We start from the raw sequence: 13,253 nt of genomic DNA, 5'->3' as shown, positions 1-13,253 counted from the left end.
TCTATTTAGAGAACTTTTCCTAGCCATTCTTTTAGGTTAGGTATGCTGGCAACAAATTCTCTTCGTTTCCTTCTATCTGAGAATGTCTTGATTCCTTTATTCCTAAAGGATATTTTTCTGGATGTAGGATTCTGGAAACACAGTTGTTTTCTTCCAGCACTTGAAAAATGTTCTGTCACTTACTTCTGGCCTCCATCACTTCTCATGAGAAACCCATTTCCATTCAACTTGTTTTTCCCCTACAGGTAGCATGTCGTTTCTTTTTTGTTGCTTTCTTTATCTTAATATAATGCCCCTCTGTGTCTCTGAGAACTTTCTTTGCTTGGAAGTCTATCTTATCTGATATTAATATAGCCATTCCCACTTTTCTTAGATTGATGTTTGGTTTTTCTTTATCTTTCATTTTCAGAAGCTTGAATATTATGTGGTTTGGTCTATATTCCTTTGGATTTTTCCAGTTTGGGATTTGCTCAGGCTCCTGAATCTATAGCTTTCTGCCTTTTGCCAAACTGGTAACTTTTCAGACATTATTTATTTCAATACTTTTCAGTCTCTCCCCATCTTTTGTGATAACACAAATACTAGATCTTTTGTTATAGTCCCTCAATTCCCCAAGGCTGTATTGGCCTCCTAGCATGTTAATAGATATAACTCACATAAAAAATTATTGAGGTCTTCAATAATTTTTTTTTTGAGACAGGGACTCTCTCTGTTGCCCAGGCTGGAGTGCAGTGGCACAATCACGGCTCACTGGAGGCCTCAATTGCCTGGGCTCAAGTGATTCCCTCATCTTAGCCTCCCAAGTAGCTGGGACCACAGACGTGTGCCACCAGGCTGGGTTATTATTTTTAGATACGAGGTCTCGTTATGTTGGCCAGACTGGTCTCAAATTCCTGGGCTCAAGCAATCCTCTCGCCATGTCCTCCCAAAGTTCTGGGATTACAGGCGTGAGCTACCACACCTGGCCAGCCCTCAATAATTTTTAAGAGTGAAAAAAGTCTCCTGAAGCCAAAAAGTTTGAGGACCTGTGAGGTACAAAAAAACTAATATTAAAGAAAGTTCTTACTTCCTCTCCCAAGACTTCCAAGTGTGGTTTGTGAGCACGCTCTCTAGTTCCTTGTGCCAATTCAGGTGGTATCCCTTGCGGTGTCGGAGGAATATGGACATATTCTTGGTTGTCATCCATAACAGGAATTCCATACAATATTCTACAATGTGATAAGAACAATAAGTTTGCTTTTTAAGTAATTGACAAAGTATAAGGTGTTTGCCCTCATTTCATAACTCCACTGAAATAAACACATGGACATTTGACATCTGCACTAAACAGAGATTGTGTAGAAGTCAGATAATCCAAAATGAGAAATAATCCAAAAATGCTAATATCTGGTTCTTAATACATTTTAGTAGTAATATTTATGATGGTTTTGTTTCATTATACTGGAATAATAAATTCACCCTATGAAAGTCTAGTTGCAAAAGAGGTTAAAAAAAAAAAAACTTCTTTACCTTCTGATCTCTCACCTACTCCCCATTCCAAGCTCACACATACACACAAAGTTTCATTTCTTGGGTGGGGCAAAGCATCAGCCTAAGCAGAAGTACCTTCTCACATTATGGTTCTCCCTTCTTGCTGAGATGAACAGAAAACTGTGTAGGCATCAAGTCTTTCTTCTAGGCTACAAGCTACATATACATGAGAATATATATGGAACAAAACTTATCAATAAAAGATTAAGCTAAACAGATGAGATAAATCAAAATTTGAAAGTAAATGTGTCATTAATTACTGACCTACAGACTGGCTTAAAAATACATTAACTTTTGTATTATAACACTTAACTGTAAAATAAATATAAAATGAACATAAAGACAAAATATCTAAGAATATATACACAGTCATGTGCCACATACATAATATAGATATATCAATTTCACATTGAAGCATTTAAAGCTACTGTTCCCTCTAACTTATTGATATACTATTATAGGAAGAAACACATTACGAGTTACCAAATGTGAAAACTAAGCATACAAAAACCCAACTGATTTCAGTTGTTTAATAATATACTGAAATCCTCAAATCCCATGATACCTGCTGTTAAGAAGTAGACCCACTCAGAGGCAGGCTGAAGAAGATATGGCTTTGTCAGAGTAGAGTCATGAATAAAAGCTTCCTATCTTACCTACTAAAATACCTGAATTCAAAGAGAGGTTAAAACTCTACTCCCAGCAAGGTGAATACCACTGCCACTTAACACCCATTCCATCCTCCTTCTAATGTGCTTTCCTGAACTGCCAAGGATGGAGAGGTAAAACTCTCTTGGCCAGGCATGGTGGTTCATGCCTGTAATCCCAGCACTTTGGGAGGCTGAGGCAGGCAGATCACTTGAGGCCAGGAGTTCAAGACCAGCCTAGCCAACATAGCAAAACCTCGTCTCTACTAAAATACAAAAGTTAGCTGGGTGTAGTGGCACACACCTGTAGTCCCAGCTACTCAGGAGGCTGAGGCACAGTTGTTTTAACTCGGGGTGGAGGTTCCAGAAGCCAATGTTCTAGATATTATTTGGAATCCACCAACCAAATGCAATTAGAAGGCAGAAGGTTCTAATGTTTCTGTTGGCAAGTACAGTCATGACAATGTTGAGTTCTTCTGTAGCAGTGTTCCAGTTATGACTTTGTGAGTTGTGTTTTTTACTGGTTTGTTTTTTGCCAGTGAGCATGTCAAACAGACACAGTGTGGCTCCAGAGTCCAAAGCTGTGACAGTAAAAGCTACTTAATCCCTGAATCTCAGTTAAGGTGGTATGTTGCCAGTGCTGGCTTCCAGATTTGCCGCCTTCCTGTGTCAGGAACAGCAGCACCCTAGGCAGCCAGTTAAACATGCTCTGTGAATCATCCCTGGGAGATCTCCCTACCTAATGCCCCATTTTTCTAACCCTCTCATTGATTTTAAAACACCAAATTCCCATTACTAAGTCCCTTTTTGCTTAAAATAGCTAAAGCTGTGATACAGTTTGGCTGTGTCCCCACCCAAATCTCATCTTGAATTGTAGTTCCCATAATGCCCATGTGTTGTGGGAGGGACCCGGTGGGAGGTAATTGAATTACGGGAGTGGTTACCCCATAGTGCTGTTCTCGTGATGTGAGTGATTTATCACAAGAGCTGATGGTTTCATAAGGGGCTTTTCCCCCTTTTGTCCATCATTTCTCCTTGCTGCCACCATGTGAAGAAGGACATGTTTGCTTCTCCTTCCACCATGATTGTAAGTTTCCTGAGGCCTCATCAGCCCTGCAGAACTGTGAGTCAATTAAGCCTCCTTCTTTTATAAATTACCCAGTCTTGGGTCTGTCTTGATTAGCAGCATATGAACAGACAAATACAAGATGTTTCTGTTTTCCGAAGCTGAATTCCAGTGTATCCAGGAAAACAAAAGAACAGGGGAAGGTCTAGGGACTAAGAAAATGAGCCAAGTGAATACAGACATCAGGATCAATAAGTATTTCTAAGATAGGTTGGGAGGAGAGGGAGATGGTGATGAGGAGAGCAGTGACTAAGAAGTTATCTAGAAGCACTGCTCTACTTTTCTCTGGCTCTATGCCAGAAACAGGATAGTAAAAGTCATTTACAACTTATTGTCTTTTGCTCTTTCACATTCCAAAAACACGCTAAATAAACAGAAATATGGATTGGTTGGAAGAAAGTGAAGGTCATCGGACATTCTAAAGTGCATAGCTCTGGTAGACATGAATGGGGGCCTTGGTGGAAAGGCATACCTAAGGTTAGCCTTTATGCTCCTGTATGACAAAGATGAAGCACTTACCTGGAAATTTTTATCCGGATTTTCCCTGCTTCCTTCTTTTTGTCCAGAGAAAAGAACGAACCCTTTCTAGAGTTCTCTTTGAAAAACACCACTATCTCAGTGGTTCAGACTGAAAATCTCTTCATCACCAATCTCTTCCTCACTCCCAACAGTAATGACTATTTCTGTTCATTCTCCCTCCATGATGTCTCTCCTGTTCACTGTATCTTCTCTCAACTGAGTCCTGTGATATCATCTTTGCTGGTCCCTTACCTCCAGACCCTCCCTCCTTCAATCCAAGCCACATATCCCTGCAACTGTTGTTATCAGTCACCCCCTCTGCAAACATCTCACTGACTACACACACAGTATATACAACCCAAGCTCCTGACCCTGGCAGTAAGGGTCTTTCACAGTCTGGGCACCATCTGCTTTGCCAACTCTGCTTCCTTCCCCCAACCTTCCACCCAAGCTACATTTGCAATGCAAAAAAAATGCCTTATGTGCTGGGATTACTCCAGGAGCAATAGGGGAAACAGGCAAAATCAACAGGCCATTATAGTAATGAGTGGCTATGGAAATGGAGAATGATGAGAGCAAGACCTTCAGATCTCAATTCCTCCACGAGACCTTTACAAATCCTCCTCTACCCAGCCCAGATTCATGTCTGACTCCCTGGTTTCCCTGTTGCATTTGATCTGCTCTTTCATTACACAATATACTGCATTCTATTCCGTATGCCTTTTTCACAGTAGAGCATAGGCTTGTTTGGGAGAAAAAGTGAGACTTACTCATTTTCTGTCTCCCAAAAATTTGAATGGAGTAGGTACTAAATAAATATTGTTGAATTTTGGCTGAGTAAGAAAAGTCTCACAGCCAAAGCCAGCCCCAGACTCTGCCCTGGGAAGCAGAATCATTGGTAAGGCAGGAGATGCTGGGTAGTTCTCAAAGTGTATTCCCTATCGAGCATCATTAGTATCATATAACAACTTGTTAGGAATGTAAGTTATTGAGCCCCAACACAGACCTAATGAGTCAGAAACTCAGGAGCTGAGGCCTAGCTATCTGTGTTATAGCCAGCCCTGAAGGTGATTCTGTGCACTCTGAAGATGGAAAACCACTAAGGTACTCAATCTTTCCTAAAACAGCCTAATCATAAGAATATCCTGGGATGAAATCAAATCTACACCTTCCCAGACCCCTTCTCTGAAGATTCTAATTCAGTAGGTTTGCGATAGATCCTGGGAATTGATACACTTATGAAACAACCCAGATGACTCTTATCCTCAAGGAAGACTAAAAATCACTGATATAGTGGAAAGAGTGAGCCTTTGGAATGAGGTTAAAAAACAGAATTTGGGCCCCTCACTGTGCTATGTTTCCTCTTCAGTCTGTTTCCTCATTTACAAATGGCAACAGTGATTGAGTTTTTCAGAGTCAAATGTCTTAGAAATCATGTATGTGAAGAGGCTTGTACACAGAATATGCTAAGAAAGTGATTGATATTACAACCATTATTGTTTATGATCATTGAGGGAGTTGAATGAAGGAAACAAGCCCACCTCTCTCAGAGTGAAAGTTGAACCTCCTTTTGGGTCAATATTGGTCTCCCATGAGGCCAGAGAGAGAAATATATTTGTGATTGTATGATGCTGTTAAAGAAGTTTGGAAAACATTTGTTCTAAGCTGTGAGTACTCTGAAAAAATCTCTGCACACATCTTCTATGAGTTACATAAAGGTGACTGTGAGCTACATCTTGTGAAGCATGGAGAAGGGATCTCCCTCCAACAATCTTCCCCTACCTTGGTATGACCCCAACAGAGAGGTTCTCCATCACAGCTTCACTATCTCTTCCTTAACAAATTTATCTTGCTCTTTGGTATACAAAAGCCTGAGAGAGGCTTCACAGGATGTTGCTCACAGTCACTCTTAGGTAACCCATAGAAGATGTATACAGGGAAATTTGAAGAGTGCTCACATACAAAAGTTTCATCAAAGTCAATCTCACATGCAATGGTTCTATTCTAGATACCATTTTTTAAAGTGCTCATAGCAAATCGCTAAACTGATTTCACAACCCACTCACTGGGTCGCAATCCACAATTTGAAAAACATTAACTTACAGAGAATGTTGTTTAAAAAGCAGATGCCAAGGTCTGGAAAAAGCTTTAGGTTTTCATCTTCTTGAAAATATTAATCTACAAATAGCTTTCTTTAGTCCTTTATAATTTTTTTCTTTGAAATCTGCAGCAGAGGCATATGAATATTATGTATGTTTTAAAAAGATCAGAAAATACAGTCTTGATAAAATCAGTCTATAGAAGAGTAAGTGTATAACTATATAATTTTTTTTTTTTTTTTTTTTTTTACAAAACATGATTGGGAAGGGGAAAATTGTATTTGTAATCATCGTAACTTCATTGCTACATGCAAACAGTGACATCTGGTGGAATGATACTGCTTTACTTTTTTAAAAATCCAGCTTTCACATATTGGCAGTTATGGTAACAGACAAATTTTCAAATAATTCCTTTTTGGGTATTTCCAAGTAAAAACAGAAATACACAAGGGTAAACTCTTAACAGACATTGATAGTGCATACTGAAATGATTTTTTGTCATACCAAACTGTCATACTGATGGGGCTATTTGTTCAAAGTGGATATAACAGAAATTTAAAATGAGGTTACTATTAATTCCAGTTCTATCTCTGCCACCCACTGTGATACAGAGTGCAAAGCTTTGCCTCAGTCTCCTCATACATAATATGAGAGGCTTAGGCTAGGGAACTACTAAGATCTCTTACAACTCTGTTCAATGTACTTCTGTGACATGTATCACCAACTCACACAGTGATTCTTACGTTCTTAGGTCACTGCTTGGATTATGCAGCAAGAACAAGGCCATGTAAGGGGTAGGGGTGGGGCCAGGATTAGACCTGATCATTGAGAAATGGCAGATGGTAGGGGAAGGTCAGTCGCAGATACCTACACTGGTAGGAAATAAAAAGCATATGAGACAGAACAGAGTATTACAAATGAAGTGTAACAGACCACAGGTCCTGGGTGTACTGTAATTAGAAAGGTCTAGCATGAGATGATGGCACATTTGGGTGGGGGGCAACCAGTGATAGGAAGTATAAAACCAGGCAATATTCAGAGACTGCAAAGCTTTCAGTAATTAACAACAGAGAAGTCTCCCACAATGACCAAGGCCACATCCTTGGCCTAGAATCAAAACAGGATTTTCAGTTCCTAGGAGGGAACAAGCAATAGTAAGATAAAAATCCTCATCCTGAATAAGCAGAAGCCCTGCTTCCAAAATTGGTTCACAATTGGTCAAATACAAACCACCAAGGGCAAGTAAAATATGCTTCACACAGATTATCCAACTAAGCCTCTTCACATTCTTCCTAGATTAGGTCAAATTGGTCCTAAAAACAGAATGAGAGCGAGTATACAGAATTAAGCATAAAGAGAAAAAATAAAATGGCCTTTCACAAATACACAAAGCAGTAGAATATAATAAAAGCCACATTTAAAATTATAAAGACCTGGGCTTGAATCCCAGCCGTTACTAGCTACATAAACATGGATTAGTCAATCATTACGCTGTATTTTTTATTTGGGAAATAAAATGATTTTATCTACTACATAGAGTTGTTATTAATACAAAATTATATAATAAATGTAGTGTACTTCAATGCATTTTTCTGTTAGATAATTTTCCATTTTCTTAACAATATTACTACCTTATTTGAAGGATTTGGATAAAATCTTTCAAATAAAAGCACTCCTTATACATTTGATTTGTAAGCTATCATTAGTAGAGACAGTAAGTCAAAATAATTACTCATATATGTGTCTCTACATTTGTATTTATATATATAGATATATATCCTCAAAGAAATATGTTATCAAAATAACATCTATAATGTCATTTTCATAAAATGTATGTATACATAATATATGTGTATGCACAGAAGAAAAGCTTATAGTAATCTACCATATAGAAAACCCGATAGGAAAAGGTCACCCTTATTACAATATTTTTAACGATCACAGAGAGAAACTATAGAGGCAAATTTTTCAGATCTTGTCCCATCCCACCCCCAATGCCTTTCAGGATTCTGAGTGACTCAACTGCTAACATAAACCTGCATCTCTGGTTCTCCTACTTAAGATCTAAAAGTACTATTCTAATACCTCCAAGATAAACAGTCAAAAATGTTTGGTAAATCTATCCAATATTAACTTTGGGTAGCCAGAAATAACTTGTCTTCATTCAAAGTTGAGTACACAGAAAAACCCAAAATGATTTCTGTGAAGACAGTCTCCAAACTACAAAAATGAAATATAGCATTCAAAAAGTGACAGGAAGAACATCCTTTTGAGAAAGATTTATTATAGGAAACAAAAATATTTTAGAAAGATTCTGCTTTGTGTTCTTGAGGTAATAAAATTCAGATAAACAAAAGCGATTGTCTTAAGAGACTGATAGAATTTAGAAAAAAATCTGTAAATGCCATAGCAGTCTCACAATGAAAATTAGAAGGACTTTTTAAAATTTATACCACAGAAAATGAAACCACTGAAGTACAGAGGTTTAAGAGATAAATCTAAGCAAAACAATGATAAATATAGAGGAAAGATAGTGAAAATCCAACATACAGCTAATTGATATTCCTGAAGAAATGCACAAAATAAGTAGAATAGAAACATTACTCAACATAAAACAAAAAAGTCTTATACTGAAATATAGTGTACTATATTTGCATATAAGAAGAGCTTTCCATGTACCCCCAAAAATTAATTAGAAAGCAATCCACTCTCAAACATACGCTAGGGAAATTGTTCATTTTAAAGCAAAACATAAAATTCTGTAAGCATCAAGATGAGTAGGAGAAAAATATTACATGCAAATAAATGAAAAACAGGTTGGTTTCAGATTTCTGTATCACAAGATTAGATATCAGATAATGATACAAACAAAAAACACATAGGCAAATGCTGACAGACAAAACAGATTATAGGAAATAGCAAAGAAGCAAAAAAGGAAAAAGAGAATATAAAATGACAAAAATAATACCAAGTACATCTGATAGGACAATAAATGAATATGGGGTGACCCAACCTATTAGAAAAAAACCTATCAGAAAAAAAATTCTGATAAGCTCAAAAAATATTTAAGTCTATGCAATCTACAAGGGACACAACTAAGACAGACTAAAATGAAAATGGAAATATATGCCATATAAATAAAGCAAAAAATAAAACAAAGTGGTTTTCACTTTTATGGGTTAAGTGTACAATGAAAACAAAAGGATCACAATTAACAGTTTCTTGAATTTTCTCCCACACACGCAGAAAAAATTGTTTTATATAATACACATGTTGTTTCTGAATTTAGTTCTAACCCTTTCAGAATACAAAATTCTACCTCATTCTTTATTATGGTTGCAATGCATCTCATTATTGAATGCATAATTAAAATTCTTCCATGATAGACACTTAGGTTGTTTCCAGTTTTTAGTTATTATAAAAAGTGATATGATGAACATCCTTGTGCATTTCTCTTACCAATTGATAGTCATCAGCATATAAATGGCATTTAAAGCCATGGTCCTGGATAAGATCACCTTGGTAAGCCTGGGCACTCCAATGTTGAGAAGTCAAGAGATGAGGAGACACCAGGAGGAGGGACTGAGAAGCCATCCCCAGGGAAGCAGGAAGATAGCCAAGAAAGGAGTGGTCCCTAAGGCCAGGGATAAAGGTGACTTCTGGAAAAGTAAGTGATCAACTGTGTCAAACACAACTGAGAAGACAAGGACTGTGATATCTTAAAGCAAACCTGATCATGTCATTCTTCCTCAGAAAACCTATCAATGCTTTCCCAATTCACTGTGACTAAGAATCCCTCCCCCAAGCACTCACACGTGCCCTCACACATACATACGGGGTAACCATAAAATCCTGCCTCAGCTCTAGCTTCAAATGTATCACTGCTCTTCCTGTTCTCTAATACTGGACTTACTTCCAGTTATCAGATGGATTCCAATTGCCCACAGCATGAACTCAAACTTCAAACTGTATACAAATTTCCTGCATTTCTAACAAGTTCCCAGGTGATGGTGATGCCGCTAGTCTGCGGACTATACTTTGAGTACCAAAGATCTAAAACATTCTTTCCCCTCCTCCTTCCTATCTTCTATCCATCTTTCAGGTTTCAATTTAGGTATCAATCCTCAAACCTCCCCAAATAATCAGGGACTCCTCTTACATGTTTCCACATAGCACTCTGCACAACTCTATATTAATTGTCGCATTCACAGTAATTAATTCACCCTTCTTTTCACTGGTCTCCAGGTTCCCTGAGGGCAGTGATTATGTCTCTCCTGTTTGCAGATGCCTCTCTAGTGCCTACCTCTATGCCTACCACAGAGTTAAGCATATCATTTGATTACTCGGATCAATATTTATTGACATGGAAAGATGTTTACACATAAGTTTTTAAAAGTTAGGTTACAAAACATTATACATATAGTATTATTCTAGTTTTGTTCTATATGATTTATTTGCAAAAGGAAAAGTCTGGAATCCCATATTTAAGAATGTTAACAGTGTTATCTATAAATGGCAAGATTTTGAGTAATTGTTTTTCATTTTCGCATTTTCTTGCATGTTTTTGCATATTTGTTAAAATATTTTTATTGTTTTTTGTAAAAAAATAATCAAAAATGAAATTAAACATTGAATTTTGACACTTAACCTTTGGTTTTTCCATTGTTGCTGCTGTTCTAATGTATAAAGCTAATGATCTGTCCACATATTTTCCAAAAATTGACTAGGAATTTCCTTTTTAATTTGAAGCCAACTAGAGGGTTAAGTCTGGGATTCATAGCCTGGCATTGCTCACTGCGCAGGAGCTGTCTATAAGGGGTGCCTGATTTGAGAAGGTCAGCCAATGTTTGTAGGACAGCATTTTTGCCACCAACTCTGTATTGATTGTGAATCAAGGAAATACACAAGCAGTTTTAGATAGACAAATCAGTGAAATGGAACAGAAATCCATAAATAGACTCAATAACATGTTGGAATTTAAGGTATTTGAAAGTTAGCATTTCAAATCAGTAAGGAAAAGAAGATTCATTGAATAAATTATATTTTAAAATATGTTCTTCTTATCAAAATAAATTACAAATGGATTAAATATTTAATTTTTTCCAAAGGAAACCACAAAGTTACTAGAAGAAAATATGAGAGAATACATTAAAATGTAAACGTATAAACACCCTTTCTAAGATTAGCATCAAGACTAGAACACACAAAAAAAATTGCTACATTAAAAAATTTCTGATAGCATAAAACACCATAAACAAAACTGAAAAGCAGACAACAAATTGAAAATATATCTATAATATATACGGCAAATAACTAAAATTTTAATATAAAAAGATCATTTACAAAACAATACAAAAGAGATAAATGACAACTCCAGATCTGGTAATTCTCAAAAGGAAAAAAGCACATAACCAAGAGACATCTAAAAATATGTGCAACCTTACAAGAAATGGATAAAAATAATAAAAGATTAGAAAAAATTCAAAAAGAGTAACAATCATAGTTTGACAAGGGTGTAAGGAAAAGAACAGTGTCATAAATTGGCATAAATAGTGTCACCATAGCTTGGTTATAATAGTAACTATCTGGCCAGGCACAGTGGATCACATCTGTAATCCTATTATTTTAGGAGGCTGGTGCAGGAGGATCACTTAAGGCTAGGAGTTCGAGACCAGCCTGGTCAACATAGTGAGACTCTATGTCTACAAAAAAATATAATAATTAGCCTAGTGCTACTCAGGAGGCTGAAGTGGGAGGAGCCCAGGAGTTCAAGGTTACAGTAAGCTATTATTATGCCATTGCGCACCAGCCTAGGAAACAGAGCAAGACCCTGTCTCTATTAAAAAATTTTTGTATAAAGTAGTAAATATCATGAAATAATTTAAATGTTCACAAACAATCTTGAATGAAGAAACTCAGGCTATAGAATGTCATGGGTGGTTTAAACACATACATATACAAGAGATGTCCGAAAGGCTATTCACCAAGTTGTTAACATTAATCTAAGTCTTTAAATACCTTTAATCATTTTGCCTACTTTAAAGCCTGAAATATAAAATTTCATACCAAAAATTTGAACTAAATGTCTACAAACTTCTCTCTATAATATACAAATCATTTTTAAAGCAAAAATAAGGCCAATACAAGATATTTGTATAGTTCTCATCATAATTACTGTTTAGCAAAATAAGCGTAAGTTTGAACACTACACCGCTGTTCAAATAAACTTAAGTATATACCCTTCCAATTCCATTAAAATATTCTTGGTGTTTGCCATAAATAATGATTAACAAAATTGGGAAACATTAAAACTACACAACCACAACTATTACTACCTTTGAAGTTAACTGATCATTGCACAAAAAAATGCAAAAAGCCATCAAATGAAAAGGTATTCATTTTGTTTACAGTTACCTTTCTTGAGAACGCTTGGTAGTGCAGAAAAAAATTATACATTTCTCCGAACTTGTAGGCTCAGCAGACAGATATATTTTGAAAAGGTTAAGCTATGTTTAGCAAGGTAATCCTCAAGAGATAGATGCTGGAGAATTAAATATTCAGTACTTAAATTAACTTCTTATTTGGTACTTAGGAACAAATTGCCAAGAATTATCCTCATCAAATAGAACATTTATTGACTCTTGGAAAAAGAAAGTGAGGTCTACTTGAAGAAAAATATTTTCAGAATTCAAAAGAAACTAGCATTTCTAACACTTTGCGTGAATAATTATAGCTGTAAGTCCTCCAAATGATGCTTGGCTTGTGTAGTGCTAATGGGAATGACTCAAAATAGCAGAGTTTCATGCCTACTAGATTATGTTTATGTATTTATTTTCTACTCCTAGCTTTAGGCTTTAACATATATTCCAAAGAATGTCATGCTGAACTGCTATTTTCTATTGGAGACACTGGAGCAGTTCTGAAATTTCAAAAATTCTTCATATACAATTTTTTTCAAAAATTTAATTTGATAAAGCAAAACTAAAAGACTTCAGATGTATAAAATTATGACTGACAAATCCTAAAAATTTTTTTTTGCCTACATAGAAAACAAACATAAAAATGACCTTCTTTTAGGGATTCAAATAGAAACCAATTGTGATTGCTAATCACTGGGAAACCAGGTAATTTTTAATTCATGAAAGGATGCACTAGCATTGCAATTTTTACTAGAAGTCAAGTTTGAGAAAATGCATTCAAAATATACCATGAAAAGTATGGGTACTAATAATCTTGTGATAGTGTCATTAAAAGTGATCTTTTAGAATAGTATTCTCATATACCTAGGATAGTTAAATTATAATACTAAAAAAGTTTCCATTTAACTTAATA

General features: G+C 36.1%; 1 protein-coding gene across 13 annotated transcripts in view; it reads right to left on the bottom strand.

The window, feature by feature from the left end:
- Positions 1-13,253, bottom strand: part of TTC6 (tetratricopeptide repeat domain 6) — a 247,089-nt gene that overhangs the window by 126,855 nt on the left and 106,981 nt on the right. For all 13 annotated transcript variants that reach the window (XR_007064009.1, XR_001750287.2, NM_001310135.5 and 10 more), the window contains one exon: positions 1,067-1,208. Coding sequence is in view for 11 of the 13 variants with exons in the window: in NM_001310135.5 (NP_001297064.2) it covers positions 1,067-1,208 (142 nt within the window). In the remaining 2 variants the exon portion in view is untranslated. The remainder of the gene's footprint in view (positions 1-1,066; positions 1,209-13,253) is intronic.

This window comes from Homo sapiens, chromosome 14 (genome assembly GCF_000001405.40).
Source record: "Homo sapiens chromosome 14, GRCh38.p14 Primary Assembly".
NCBI classification, from domain to species: domain Eukaryota; kingdom Metazoa; phylum Chordata; class Mammalia; order Primates; family Hominidae; genus Homo; species Homo sapiens.
The sequence above is the reverse complement of the archived record's forward strand: the minus strand, read 5'-3'. Positions and strand labels throughout refer to the sequence as shown.